The sequence below is a fragment of the Homo sapiens genome, chromosome 15 (genome assembly GCF_000001405.40).
Source record: "Homo sapiens chromosome 15, GRCh38.p14 Primary Assembly".
Classification (NCBI taxonomy): domain Eukaryota; kingdom Metazoa; phylum Chordata; class Mammalia; order Primates; family Hominidae; genus Homo; species Homo sapiens.
The window spans coordinates 28,996,043-29,011,339 of NC_000015.10; the positions used below are offsets into that span (position 1 = coordinate 28,996,043).

General features: G+C 44.9%; 1 protein-coding gene across 36 annotated transcripts in view; it reads left to right on the forward strand.

Moving 5' to 3' along the window:
- APBA2 (amyloid beta precursor protein binding family A member 2) overlaps positions 1-15,297 on the forward strand; it is a 232,342-nt gene that overhangs the window by 110,069 nt on the left and 106,976 nt on the right. The gene's annotated exons all lie outside the window — the stretch shown is intronic.

Consider the following 15,297-nt stretch of genomic DNA (forward strand, 5'->3'; position numbering starts at 1 on the left):
CGACCTGCCCACCACCCAATGACAACACAGCAAGACACGCACTCCCCATCTGTCCTCTCCTCATTATACTGGTGTTTCTGTAAACCATGGTCCTCACCAGACTCAGTCATTGATTTGTGTAACCCCTACCTAGGTTCCTAGTTACAGCGAAAGTAGACACATGTATATCGGCAATAATAGGTAGCACTCGAACCTTTCACTCTCCAGTGTGGGCAGTGGCTGGTCTACTTTGAGAAGGGACCAGCCATTGTGAGATACCAGGAAGCTGAGCAGAAGAAATCTAACTTTGATAAAAAGAGGCCTCCTCATCTTGCCAGGGATGGAGCGTGGTCCATCCTCCCTCCCTGTGCATGGAGCAGTATTGCAGCCCTGAAGACACTGCCCCATGGTCAGCATCTGGCTTGCCCTTGCCCTGTAGGACTGGTAGGAACAGAGCCCTGGTGCCAGCCGAGTGTTCCACACAGGGGAGACTTGCAAGGGACAGGTTCTGCACTGCAGATGAATTGGCTGTCTTCTTCTGTGGCTGGAGACACACAAGGCAGCGGCTTTGTAGGGAAACTGGTGTACAGGGTGGGGCGTGTTTGGAGAACGAGGAGCAGAGGGCATTGTTGCTGGAGTTAAAGAAGCAGAGCCAGGGATGGTCTTCATGTCCTGATGCCCAGAGCAGGCCTGAGCTTCTGATGGATTCTGGGGGTTCTTATGTATTCTTGGGAAGGAGCATGTGGTAAGCTTGGACAGGGAGGCAGTTCAGAGTGTTACATGCAAGGCAGCGGTGGCCTTGGGAACACCCCCCCTGCCTGACCAAGGCAAGGAACACTTTGTGTGTCCCAGTGTGGAATCTCTGTGCCAGTTGTGAGGGGACGGATGAAGACCAGCAGGGGTGAGGACGGGATTCTGGAGTGTCAAGACTCAGGTTCAGAATCACAGTTTTTCTTCCAGGGCAGCACAAGGCCACAAGTGTGGCTATTTGAAGCCACCCAAAAAGCCATTATTTGTAAAGCAAGGCAGCTTTATTGATTTCACTTTCTGCCCTGCATCTTTCCCACATTGTGGTAACCACTCACCATCCCTGTTCTGCTGATGAGGCAGGAATTCCCTTGCATCCAGTTGGGGAGCATTCTTGTCACAAATGTCCTGGATGAATTACACGGTGGCTCTCCGTGGAGGGAGCACATTCACAAGGCATTTAAGAGATGCAGGACAATCAGCCCTCGTCCATGAAACAGGGTGAAACGTAGAAGAGCTGCGTGATTATTAATGGGTTTGGACATAAGCTGGAGTGTTTACTGAAATTTTTCTCAGTTGTCAGTTTTCAAAGTTTGTGAATGTACTTTTGTGCTCTCAACAGGCCTTTTCTGCTCTATTTAACTTTCTACTTAGGGTTGTAAACATACTTCAGCCGTAATGACATTAGATACATCATCCACTCTCAGCTCTGAAAATGCTGGAGATTTTGATTATCACCAGCAGTAAGGACAGCTTATGAAGGGAGATGTTACTTATGGAGACACAGCTCATGATTCCATAAAATTCCAGTCTTCTGGGAGCCCAGGGTTAAGCAGCTGCCTCAGCCCATCCACCCTCTAGGGACTGTCCACGGTGAAATTGGCTTCTTGACGTTTTCCTTATGGAACCTGGGGTGTCATTACATTCTGTTAGAGTCATAGGGTGGTTCTATTTATGCCTGTAAGGTATAAGGTATTTTTTTCTTCTGAGTCTAGAAAAGACCTACTGGAATTTTTATGTATCCTGAAATACTATTAGACGATCAAAATCAATTGCAATAGAGAAGGTGCTGGGCTCTCTTCCCAATTGCTCTCACCCATCTGCAGTGTAATAGGCCTATCATGTAAGTGAATATACTCATCACAATTCTCTGCAGCTTCCCAGCAGAAAAGCATATTCCTTCTCAGAGAGAAAGGCGGCAAGGAGATGGATATTTTTAAATGCCAATTATGCCAGAATGAGTCTCTGTGAGGAGATCTGTAAAGAGAAGAAAGGGCCGGGGTTTATTTATTTTTCTGCTGCGAATGGAATCATTCTGTAGCTTCAGAATACTAATCCCTGTGATGTGCCTGATGTCTTTTCATAGGATAATTTGTGAATGTGCTTCCACTTACAGGAAAAGTTTGAGGCTCTTTTCTTATTCTTCTTTTTCTTTTTTTTTTTTTTTTGAGAATTAAATTCTAGGCCTCACTATATCCTATGATAACCGTCCTATAGGCCCTCGATCTATAAAATGTGTGCATAATGAAATATATAAAATCAGCGATTATCCTGAAGGAACACAGAAAAGATTAATAAGCTGTATTTAAATCACGGCAAGTCTCAGAACATATATTAAGTTAGAAGACATCACGTCCTGAAAATGACGGGCTGATGTGATACTAGCATGTACCCCCGTATGGATGCATATAAATGCTGTGTAAAACCTAGCCCAAAGTGTTCTTTAAAACCTAAGATCCAAAGAAAGGCATGGAAATTCCAAGCTATGAGACATGAAGAGAAAACACAAAGCCAGAGCACTAAGGGAGGAGGCCATGAGACCCCCAAGCAGTGAGGTTCCTGATGGAGAGCCAGGATGATGAAGACTGTGTGACATTTGTGCAGGGAGAGACACGGCAATGGCTGGGACAGGGTAGCAAGGCTAGGAGCAAGTGCTCATATGTATAGGAAGCCAGGAGGTGGCAGACGTGTGTTATGGACCAGGTGGGATGTGATGCAGGACAGCTGGTTGGCCACATAGGAAAAGAGAAAAGATAAAGTGAGATCCCTACCTCACAGCACATGTACCAGTAAACGGCCATAGAATTAAAGGCCTATGCCGGGCACGGTGGTTCACACCTGTAATCCCAGCATTTTGGGAGGCCGAGGTGGGCAGATCACCTGAGGTCGGGAGTTCGAGACGAGCCTGGCCAACATGGCAAAACCCCATCTCTACTAAAAATATAAAAAATTAGCTGGGTGTGGTGGCGGACATCTATAATCCCAGCTACTCGGGAGGCTGAGGCAGGAGAATTGCTTGAACCTGGGGGGCGGAGGTTGCAGTGAGCGAGATCATGCCACTGCACTCCAGCCTGGGTGACAGAATGAGACTCCATCTCAAAAAAAAAGAAAAAAAAAAAGGCCAAAATGTAAAGACAAAAATGTTAAAATACATAGAAGATTTTTTCTATCTGCTCTTGAGGTGGGAAACATACACACATCATAAAAGAAAAGATGGATTAATCAAACATCAGTATTAGCAACTTCTTTAAGAGAACTACAGGCTGGAATAAATATTCATGATGAATTTACTGTGAGAGATTTGTATTCTGTTTGTATCAAGAACTCTTTCAAATTAATTTTAAAAAGACAATAGAATTGAAAAATGAGCAAATACTATGAAGAAGAAAAAATGAAAATGTCAAATAGACAAATGAACTCTGCCTTGCTCCTAATCTGGGAACTGCCTGGGAGACCATGAGATGTTGGCAAATTAGAAAGTCTGATAATCGAAGGGTTGCCCAGAGTGTGAAGCAAGGGGGCCTTCATGTCCTGTTTATCAAGGGCAAGTTAGTAAACCCCTTTAGAGAACAATTAGGTGTTATCTAGTAAGGTTGAAATGTGGATCCCCCATGACCCAGCAATTCTGCTCATGAAAGGGATTCAGTGTTGTATTAGTCAGTTCTCTCAAAAACAGAACCAATAGGATCAGTTTATCTTAGAGTTTATGTATCGATCAATCGATTGATTGGTCAATTGATATAAGGTATTGGCTTGCATGATATGGCATCTGGGAAGTCTCACAATCTGCCATCTGCAAGCTGGAGACCCAGGGAAGCCAGTATTGTAGTGCAAAGGCCTGGAAAGCAGAGAACTGGTGCAGATTCCAGTCCAGGCCGAAAGGCCTGAGAACCAGCAGCATGGAGGGCAGAGAAGACCAATGTCCCAGTCAAGCAGTCAGGCAGAGAGTGAATTCAACCCTCCTCTGCTGTTTTGTTCTATGCAGGTCCTCACTGGAGTGGACGATGCCCACCTACACTGAGGAGGGCCGTCTGCTTTACTCAGTCTGCCAATTCCAATGGTAACCGCTTCCAGAAACACCTCACAGACTATCCAGAAACAGTGTTTAACCAGACGCATGGGCACCTTGTGGCCCAGTCAGGTTGATACATAAAATTAACCATCACAAGTGGGTCACAACCAGCGTTTTCTAAAAATATGAACCAGATTAGAACAGAAGATATCAGAGTTTGTTCTGCATAGTGAATGATAGTGATCCTGAGAAGGGGGACTTTGAGGGGATGGGACTGACAGCGATGGTTAAGCCTGAATGGAGGTTTGCTACATTGTTTTCTATACTTCTATGTATTTGCAAAGTTGAGGAGAAAAGAAGTTGTGGTAAACCCCTGGATGTAGGCACACGGACCCCAGTGTTCTGTGCTGTGGGTCCCTCTGATGCAGCCGTCTTGCTCCCGTCTTGCTGGTTCATCCTCCACCTTGGCTGACTACCTGGCCTCACCCTTGTACAGGTGCTTCTGTTTGTCTCTTCATTGAAATGGGTGGGATTTATTGATTTATTTAGAGACAGGGTCTTGCTCTATTGCCCAGGCTGGAGTGCAGTGGTCTGATCATGGCGCACTGCAACCCTGACCTCCAGGGCTCAATCAACCCTCCCTCCTTGGCCTCCTGAGTAGCAGGGACTACAGGCATGTGCCACCACACCCAGCTTATTTTTATGTATTGTTTTTATAGAGGTGGGATTTTGCCATGTTGACCAGGCTGGTCTTGAACTCCTTGGCCCCTAGAATGCTAGGATTACAAGTGTAAGCCATCATTCCCTGTGTGAAATGAGTAGGATTTCTGAATGAGCCAGGCTTTGCACATTGACCTGGCTCTGCCTCTTGAACTGCTGCCTTCACATGGGAGGCTCCTTCTGGCCCTGCCTGTGTGGCTGATTCCTCTCTCAGGTGCTTCTCTTTATCTTCACAGACGAGGCTCATGGGCTTCACTTTTTGGGACCTTAGGTGGACATCTGAGTCCACAGCCCTCCTGCCTGGCTTCTGTCTCTGTGGATTTGCAGGCCTGCTTGTCCCATATCCTCCAGTGCCCAGCCCAGTGCCTCATGTACAGTGGATGCTCAAGAAGTGTGTAGTCATCACATAGCTCTAGTTTCTTATTTTTATTTTTATTTATTTATTTTTTTTGAGACAGGGTCTCACTCTGTCACCCAGGCTGGAGTGCAGTGGCATGATCATAACTCACTGCAGCCTTGAACTGGGCTCAAGCAATCTTCCCACCTCAGCCCCCTGAGTAGCTAGGACTACAGGTGAGTGCCACCATGCCCAGCTAATTTTAAAATCTTTTGTAGAGAGGGCATTTCACCATATTGTTCAGACTGGTCTCGAACTCCTGGCCTCAAGTGGTCCTCCCACGTGGGCCTCCCGCAGTGCTGGGATTACAGGCATGAGCCACTGCCTCTAGACTTTAGAAATGTTCAGAAGCTCACCTTCCCATCTGCAAAGTGGAGACTCATGAGTTGGGGGCGGGTAGATTGTGAGAATGAACCACATAATGAAGAGGGGATGTGTAGCACATGTGAGTTTTCCCATCTTGCTGGTTTCCTTCCCTGGAAGAGGCAAAGAGAGGACAAGGAGCTGGCTGTTACTATTTGCTTGCAGACTTGGTGTGTGCTTTCAAATTGGAAGCTCCTGCTCTGACACCCAGTTCTTTTTTGTTTTAAGTTGTACTTTAGAAGAGAAAAAAATTCATCAACACCCTTTTTTTTAAAAGATGGAAAATGGGTTAAGAAAGTAGCACGAGGAACTGTGAGCCCAACATAATTAGTGTGATGAAAGAGAAGTTAGCCATTTCTGTATGTAACTTTTGATTAATGATATTCAGCTCTAATTAATTATGTCCAATTCTAATTAATGACATTAGTGTGCAAGCTGGCATTCTCAAACTATATTCTGAGGATTCCCAGCGGATGTTCTTGAATATAATAGTCCCCGGTCACATTAGGTTGGGAAGTGCTGTGTGTACTGCCCGTCTTGGACACTCCCAAAGCACCATATAAAAGGCCTTCAGAAGTCCTGCAAGAAAAGGAACAATTTAAATTTCTTTTAACCTGTCATTTCCCAGACTTACTTTTACCATGTGTGCTGCTAGGCACATACGGACATGCTAATTTAACTCTCATACCACAAGGTGTGCTTGGATGAATTGATGAGCAATGTACATGTCATGGAGACGTTTTCTAAGTCTTCCAGAGTCATAGCAGGGGTCTCCTGTATCGCAGCAGAGCATACTGCAAAGAATTGCATTTCCATACAGTCTAGGGCTGCTGTGAACTAATCTCCTTTCTTGGGCAAATCGCTTAATCTCCTTCAATCAGTTCATACATCTGCAGAGGAAAGGGTGATGGCATGCCACCCTGGATGGTGGGAGGACTCCTAGCAGTGGTGGCTGTTACCATCTCATAAGAAACCCTCATTACAAGAAAGTCCACGTCATTTGCCATGTGCTGGTCTCGGGGGGTCAGCGAGTGGGGGGCTGCAGGGAGAGACCACCAGTTACCTCCTGAGCCTCACGTGTGGGGTACACTGTGTTTTGTCCGTTGTTGGATTTGTATTCATTGTTCATCTAAAAGTGATTATGTTGAAAAACAGAATGGTGGCAGACAGGCATGTTTGGCATGGGTTAATGCGAGGCTGGAAAGAGAGCCCCTGACCTTCAGTTCGAGAATCAGCCACTGCAGGAAAGGGTGGCGTCTTGGTGGCCGCATACTGTGAATGTCAAGGGAGACGAAGAGTGCACCCTGGGGAGGGCGGACTCATCAGTCCAGTGGGTTGTCCAGGAGGGAGTGAGGGTTGATCTTTCATCTCGAAGGATGAATATACATTTCTGCGAGAGAGGGGGAAGACGGGCGTTCCAGGCAAACAAGCGTGTATATATAACTGAAGCGTGGACAGAGGAAGCAGCGTGGCTGGTCTGGGAATGGAATTGTTTGATCTGGCTTGATGGAGGAGCTAGGGGGTGAGGTAGAAGAGGTGGCAGAGGCCAGCTTGACCTGTGTAGATGGCTTGGGAGAAGCCCTGGCAGGTCTTTGTTGGAGGGCTGACAGGAAGGGATATGTGCTTTCCATAGTTGACCTTGGAGGGTGCGGCATGGGGTGGAGGCCCGTGCACCAGAGGCTCCTCATAGAGTCTCTACAGAGAGATGACCAGGCTAGCGTTTTCATGGCATGAAGGTTGTCTTCAGAAACTCGCTTCACAATCTACTTAAGATGAGTCAAATCTACCCTCCAAAGAACATCTGCTGCTACTGGAGATAGCGCTTCAAAAGCTAATGCAGGTGCTGAATGTTTTTCCACCATGAGGGTTCCTTCTGTGCATCAATTAGTCTAGACTCTTGCTGTTTGAGGAAAGAGGCTCAGAGTAGTTAAGCCACTAGCTCCAGGTCTCATAGCTGGCTGATAGGACATCAACCTGCGGAGTCTCTATGGAGGTGGAATAGTTTCAGTGGTGCACTGAAACAGTAGGGGATGGATAGGAGAAAGGCTTGGTCTATTAGTCAGGTTGAGCCAGAGAAGCAGTAAGGGATGGATATGAGGAGATACATTGTGAGGAATCTGCACACGTGGTTTTGGGACCTGGCCAGGCAAGCCTGAAGCCCGCAGGGCAGGCCATGGGGAAGGGCAGGCTGGAACTCCCAGGCATGGCTGCAGCTGCAGTCCACAGGCAGAATTTCTTCTTCCTGAAGGAAGCCTTGGCTCTACTTTTAAGGTCTCCTGACAAATTGATCCAGACCCAGACAGATTGTCTGGGATGATCTCCTTTCTAAAAGTCAACTCATTATGGACTTTAATGACATGGACAGAAGACTTTCACAGCAACGTCTGGAAGAGTGGCTGATTGCCTAGCCAAGTCAGTACCTCAAAAAGACCACACTCTTGATAACACGTGGGGGCTCCAGGACCAAAAGCTGGTGCTGCAGATGTGTGGGGTGGCAGCATTGTCACTTCCTGTCTCCCACTAACCTCAGGGTCACAGTGGGCTGGTGGCTGTAGCATGCTCCACACCTGCTCTCAGGGATGCTGGAGGGAGACTGAGGCCCAGGCTTTTGTCTTAGAGACTTGGGATATGTCTAGGATCCCTTCTAAAAGCCAAGTTCTAGATAGAATCTGGCCTTTCAGGGTTGGAGAGACCCCATGTGGCTTCTGAGCAGACTTCCTTCCTGATCTCAGTCTTGGAAGTGAAGGTCTTACCCCTGGTTGCCCCCTTCCTGTGACAGAGGGCTCTTTGCCTCTTTGCACTCCATGCCCCAGAGACAATCAGTGCTGGGGACAATTTTGTCAGAAATCTATTCCCAGCCCTAGCTTAGCCTAGTGGCACTCTCAGTCCTGAAAGCTAGAGGCCATTTCCACATTGGTGTAGCACCGTGGTTCTCAGACTGTGTTTGCTATCAGGATCACCTGGGGAACTTGGTAAAAATACAAATGCAGGTCATATTCTGCTTCCTCCATCCTGGGCCTCTGTGTTCTTTATTAGCCTTCTTGGTGGTTCTGACCTACATCAAAGTTGAGGACCACTGGCATAACGCACGGCTGCTCGAACTCCAGTGTGCGCCGGAATCTCCTGGGGATCTCATTTATTTTATTTTTATTTTTTGAGACGGAGAATCACTCTTGTTGCCCAGGCTGGAGTGCAGTGGCACGATCTCTGCTCACCGTACCCTCCGCCTCCTGGGTTCAAGCAATTCTCCTGCCTCAGCCTCCCGAGTAGCTGGGATTATAGGCACATGCCACCACGCCTGACTAATTTTTGTATTTTTAGTAGAGATGGCGTTTCTCCATGTTGGCCAGGCTGGTCTCAAACTCCTGATCTCAGGTGATCCACCCGCCTTGGGCTCTCAAAGTGCTGGGGTTACAGGCGTGAGCCATCACGCCCGGCCAGGGACCTTGTTTAAATGCAGATTCTGATTCCATGGTTTTTGGTGGATCCTGCGATTTTGTGTTTCTAACAACCCCCCAGGTGGTGCAGTTGCTTCTGGTCCTCAGGCCACATCTTAAATAGCAAAGGCGTAGATAGGGGCCGAAATTAAGCACTTAAGAATTACCCAGACTTGCATCGGAATTCTGCCTCTACCACTTAACTGTCTCTGTGTTACCCTGAGCAGACTGCTTGATCTCTCTAAGCCTTGATTTCCTTATCTGGACAATGGGAATAATGTGCCTTTTTTTTTGTTTTTTTGAGGTAGCACCTCTGTCTGTTGCCTAGCGTGGAGTGCAGTGCTGCAATCTCAGCTCACTGCAGCCTCAACCTCCTGGGCTCAAGCGGTCCTCCCACCTTGGTCTCCCGAGTAGCTGGGACCTCAGGCACACACCACCACACCCAGCTAATTTTTAAATTTTTAATTAGAGACAGGGTCTCATTGTGTTGCCCAGACTGGTCTTAAACTCCTGAGCTCGGGCAGTCCTCCCTCCTTGGCCTCCGAAAGTGCTGGGATTACAGGCGTGAGTCACTGCTCTTGCTGCTTTTTAAATAAAAACTGCTGGCCGGGTGCAGTGGCTCACGCCAGCAAATTCCAGTGCTTTGGGAGGCCAAGGCAGGTGGATCACTTGAGGTCAGGAGTTCAAGACCATCCTGGCCAACATGGTGCAACCCCATCTCTACTAAAAATACAAAAATTGCCTGTCGTGGTGGCAGACCCCTGTAATCCCAGCTACTCAGGAGGCTGAGGCAGGAGAATCACTTAAACCCAGGAGGCAGAGGTTGCAGTGAGCCGAGATCATGCCACTGCACTCCAACCTGGGCAACAGAGCGAGACTCTGTCTCAAAATAAATAAATAAATAAATAAATAAATATTGCTTTGACAGTTAGAAAAGAAAGAGTTTAATACCGCAACATAATAAAGACCATACAGGCAAAGCCACCAGCCAACAGCATACCCAGTGGTGAAAAATTGCAAAGGCTTTTCCTCTTAAGATCAGAAACAAGACAAGGATGCCCCCTTTCACCACTTCTATTTAACATAGTACTAGAAATTCTAGCCAGAACAATTTGGCAAGAAAAAGAAATCAGAGGCATCCAAATTGGAAAGGAAGAGGTGAAATTTTCTCTCTTTTCACATGTCATGGTCTTATGCAATATGTAGAAGGCCTTAAAGACTTCACACGAAACACACAAAGCTGTTATAACTAATACATGAATTCAGTAAAGTTGCAGGATCCAAAATCAACACACAAATATCAGTTGCATTTCTATACACTAACAGTGAGCAATCTGGAAGGGGAGTTAAGAAAAAAATTCCATTAACCAAGGAAGCAAAAAAATTGTACACAGAAAACTACCGAACATTGCTGAGAGAAATTAAAGAAGACACCAGTAAATGGAAAGACATGGAATGTTTTTAGATTAGAAGACAATATTGTTAAGATGTCAATACTACCTATATTAGTCCATTCTCATGCTGCTAATACAGACATACTCGAGACTGGGTAATTTACAAAGGAAAGAGGTTTAATGGACTCACAGTTCCACATGGCTGGGGAGGCCTGACAATCATGGTTGAAGATGAAGGAAGAGCAAAGTCATGTTTTACATGGCAGCAGGCAAGAGAGCTTGTGCAGGGGAACTCTCATTTATAAAACCATCAGATCTCATGAGATTTATTCACTACCACAAGAACAGTGTGGGGGAACCACCCCCATGATACAGTTATCGCTACCTGGCCCCACCCTTGACGTGAGGATTATTGCAGTTGAGGGCAAGATTTGGCGTGGGACATAGCCAAACTATGTCATATCCAAAGCAATCTACAGATTCATTGCAATCCCTATCAAAATCCCAATGATGCTTTTTGTAGAAATAGGAAAATTCGTCCTAAAATTCTTGTGCAATCTCAAGGGACCCTGAATAGTAATAGCAATCTTAAAAAGAAGGACAAAGTTGGCGATCTCACACTTCCTAATTTCAAAACTAGCTACAAAGCTGTAGTCATCAAAACAATGTAGTAGTTGCATAAAGACAGACATACAGACGAAAGGAATTGAGTAGACAGCCCCCAAGTAAACCCTGACATATATGGGCAAATGATTTTTTGACAAGGATTTCAAGGTCATTCAGTGGGGAAAGGATAGTTTCTTCAAATGGTGTTGGAAAAACTGAAAACAATATAAAAACAACACAAGAGAATACAAAAATCAACTCAAAATAGATCAAAGACCTGAACATAAGAGCTGAGACCATAAAACTCAGAAGAAAACAGGTGCACAACTTCATGACATTGGATTTGGTAGTGACTTCTTGGATGTGACACCAAAGGCACAGGCAGCAACAGGAAAAGATAGGTAAGTTGGACTTCATCTAATATAAAAACTTCCTCAAAGGACACAGTCAGCAGTGAAAAGGCAACCCAAGGAATGGACGGAAATCTTTGTAATTCATACATCTGATAAAGGGTTAATAGCCAGAATGTGTGAAGAATTCTTAGAATTTAACATAAAAAGAAGCCACCTGATTAACAAACGAACAAAGGGCTTGAATAAACATTTCTCCACAGAAGATAGACACATGGCCAGTAAACACAGAAAAACATGCTCAGCATCACAAATCGTTAGAGAATTGCAAGTCGAAATCACAAGATACCACCTCATATCTATTAGGCCGGCTATTACAAAACAAAACAAAACAGAAAATAAGTGTCTGTGAGGATGTGGCAGAATTGGAACCCTTGTGCACTTTAGGTGGGAATGTAAATGGTGCAGCCCGTCGGAAAACAGTATGACAGTTCCTCAAAAAATTGAAAATAGAATTGCCGTGGAATCTAGGCGTGGTTTCACTTCTGGGCATATGCCCAAGGGAAGTAAAAGCAGGGGCTCAAGGAAATATCTGTACATTCATGTTCATGCAGCATGATTCACAATAGTCAAGGGGTGGAAGCAACCCAGGAGTCCATTGGCAGATGAATGGATCAACAAAATGTGGTGTATACATAGAATGGAATATTATTTTGCCTTGAAAAGGAAGGAAATTCTGACACATGCTATAACATGGATGAACCTTGAACCTTGAGGTCATTATGCTAAATGAAGGAAGCCAGATAGAATAGCACAGATCCTGTGTGGTTCCACTGACATGAGGTACTCAGAATAGTCAAATTCATGGAGACAGAAAGTAGAATGGTGGTTGCCAGGGGCTAGAAGGAGAGGGAAGGGGGTTAGTGTTTAATTAGGACAGAGGTTCAGTTTTACAAAGTGAAAAGAGTTCTGGAGATGGATGGTCATGATGGTAGCACAGCAGTGTGAATGTACTTAGTGTCACTAAGCTGTATTCTTAAAAAGGCTTCCAATGGTAAATTTATGTTACGTGTATTTTACCACAATTTTTTTTTCTTACAACGGAAAGGACTCAACACCATATCTAGTAAAACACACACTGAATGTTGTTATTGAAAGCATAGATGGCAGGATCACTTGAGTCCAGGAGTTCGAGACCAGCCTGGGCAACACTGGGAGACTCCCATCTCTACATAGAATTAAAATAACAGATTAGCTAGGTGTCCTAGCTACTCAGGAGGCTGAAGTGGGAGGGTCCTTTGAGCCTGGAAGTTCGAGGCTGCAGTGAGCTGTGATCATATCACTGCATTCCAGCCTAGGTAACAGAGCGAGATCCCATCTCAGAACAACAACAAAAAACAAATAAAAAAATAAAAGCACAGAGCCAGTCACAGGGACACTCCATACATATGAATTCTACCCACAGTCATTCGTGCCCCTGAGTGTCTGCCTTCCCACCATTCTCTGGGAGTTGGTTTCCATTCCCTCACCTCTCCTGTTCTCTCTGACAAAGGTAATTGAAACTATGTTTCTGTTCTTTCAGTATGGCCAGGTGGGAAGCTGTTCTCTAGTGTGAGTTAACCAGGACAGAGGGTGTGTATGTGCAGGGGAGAGAAGCCGGCAGGCTCTTCCTCCCAGATGCTGGACTATGGAATGTGATACTAACATGGGGATCCTCCCCAAGAGCCTTGGATCCCCTAGTGCACCAAAGTATCCTACTGAGAAGGCATCAGAAAATCTGACTCACAGAAGTTAGGGCAGTGTTTACAGTACCATGACAGCAGGCAGAGCTTGGGGTTCAAAGCAGAATCTGAGGAAAGACTCTAAAAAGACGAGCCCCTGCCCAAGATATGGTGCCTTTTCTAGTCTCATAGCACATTGCACCCCCTCCCCTCACTGTAACAATCCACACCCTCAGAACGCGCACCTGGAGTTGTTCATGGAGACTAAAGTGGGAGGAAGCTTTGGACAGTCACCTTTTTGAAGTCTGTTTTGAATTGAACAGTGTGCAAATGATAAGCCACTTATTTTAAAATAAGCTTCTTAATTCAAGTGTAATATAAACAGAAAAGTACAAAAATCCTAAGTGTTTATTACCATGAATATTTTCAAAGTGAACACATCCATGAAACTACCATCCAGACTAGGAAACAAAACATCACCACAACCCAAGAATCTCCCCTAGGGTCCTCTCCCAGCCATAACCCACCCCCGACCACTACCACCACCACCTAAAGGTAATCAGAATCCTAGCACCAAATGTTATTTTTGCAAATGTTTGAATTTTTTTTTAAATAAATGAATTTCTACAATATATACTGTTTTATGTCAGCTTATTTTATGCAACATTATGTTTGTGAGAGTCACTCACAGGTGGTGTGACAGTAGTTCATTGACTCACTGTTACAGAGCATTGTAAAAATACAAATAATTCATCCATTCTATGTTTGATGGACATTTGCATCTTTTCTAGTTTTGGGTCATGATTGCTGCTGGGAACACTGTTACACATTTGTTGTACACATGATTGCATTTCTATTGAGGGTACATCCAGGATTGGAATGGGTAGGTCACAGGGTCTGGGTATGTTTCTATTTTAGTGAACACTGCCAGTCCTTTTTCTGACGTGATTGTACCCAATTACACTCCCACCTGCAAATAGGAGTTTCATTTGCTCCACATCCTTGCTCATAACTGGTGGTGTTAGTCATTTTAATTTGATTTTTAGTGGATGCATGGTGGGATCCTCTGGTATGATTTTCAGTTCACTGAAGACTGTTGAATATCTCTTTCGAATACTTGTCTTGTGCTTTTCGAAACCTTCTCTTGAAGTTTTTGTGCAAGTTTTTGCTCATTTTTCTGTTGCATTTTCTTTCTTAGTGCTTTGTAGGAGTTCTTTTTTTGTTTTATGAGATGGAGTCTCGCTCTGTCGCCCAGGCTTGAGTGCAGTGGTGCGATCTCAGCTCACTGTAAGCTTCGCCTCGTGGGTTCACGCCCTTCTCCTGCCTCAGCCTCCCAAGTAGGTAGGACTACAGGCGCCCGCCACCAGCCCGGCTAATTTTTTGTATTTTTTAGTAGAGACGGGGTTTCACCGTGTTAGCCAGGATAGTCTCGATCTCCTGACCTCGTGATCCGCCCAACTCGGCCTCCCAAAGTGCTGGGATTACAGGTGCGAGCCACCACACCCGGCCGGGAGTTCTTTATATAGTTAGTACCTGAGACCTTTGCTAGATGTACATATTACAAATATTTTCTCACACTTTCTCACGTTCAGTGGTATCTTTTGATGAGAAGGCCCAGATTATCAATCTTTTCCTTTAAGGTTAATGCTTTTTGTGCCCTGTTTAGGAAATCTATGCATACCTAAGAACATGAAAACAACAGCATATTTATTTTTTCCAGCCATTCTTGTTTTCTAATATATGATTTTAGGGTTATAAATAGCCTATTAAGCCTGCTTTAGCTGTAATCCACTATTTTTAAAAATTGTAGTAAAAAAACACAGCATAAAATTTACCATCTTAACCATTTTTAAGTGTACAGTTCGGTAGTGTTAAGTAAATTCATAATGTTGTGAAGCAGATCTCTAGAACTTTTTCATCTTGCGAATCTGAACATCTATACCCATTAAACAGCAACTTCTCATTCTCCTTGCCCCAGCCTCTGGGAGCCACCATTCTACTTTCCGACTACTCTAGGTACCTCAAGTGGAATCCTACAGTTTCTGTCTTTTTGTGACTGGCTTATTTTGCTTAGTACAGTGTCCTCAAGGTTCATCTGTGCTGGGTTGTGTGATAAGATTTTCTCCCTTTTTAAGGCTGAATAATATTATGTGGTATGAATAGACCACATTTTGTTTATCCATCATCCATCGATAGACATTGGGTTGCTTTTATTCCTTGGCCATGATGAATAGTGCTGCTGTGAACATGGCTGGCTGTCCAGCACCATTTTTGGATACGTTGTATTTTTA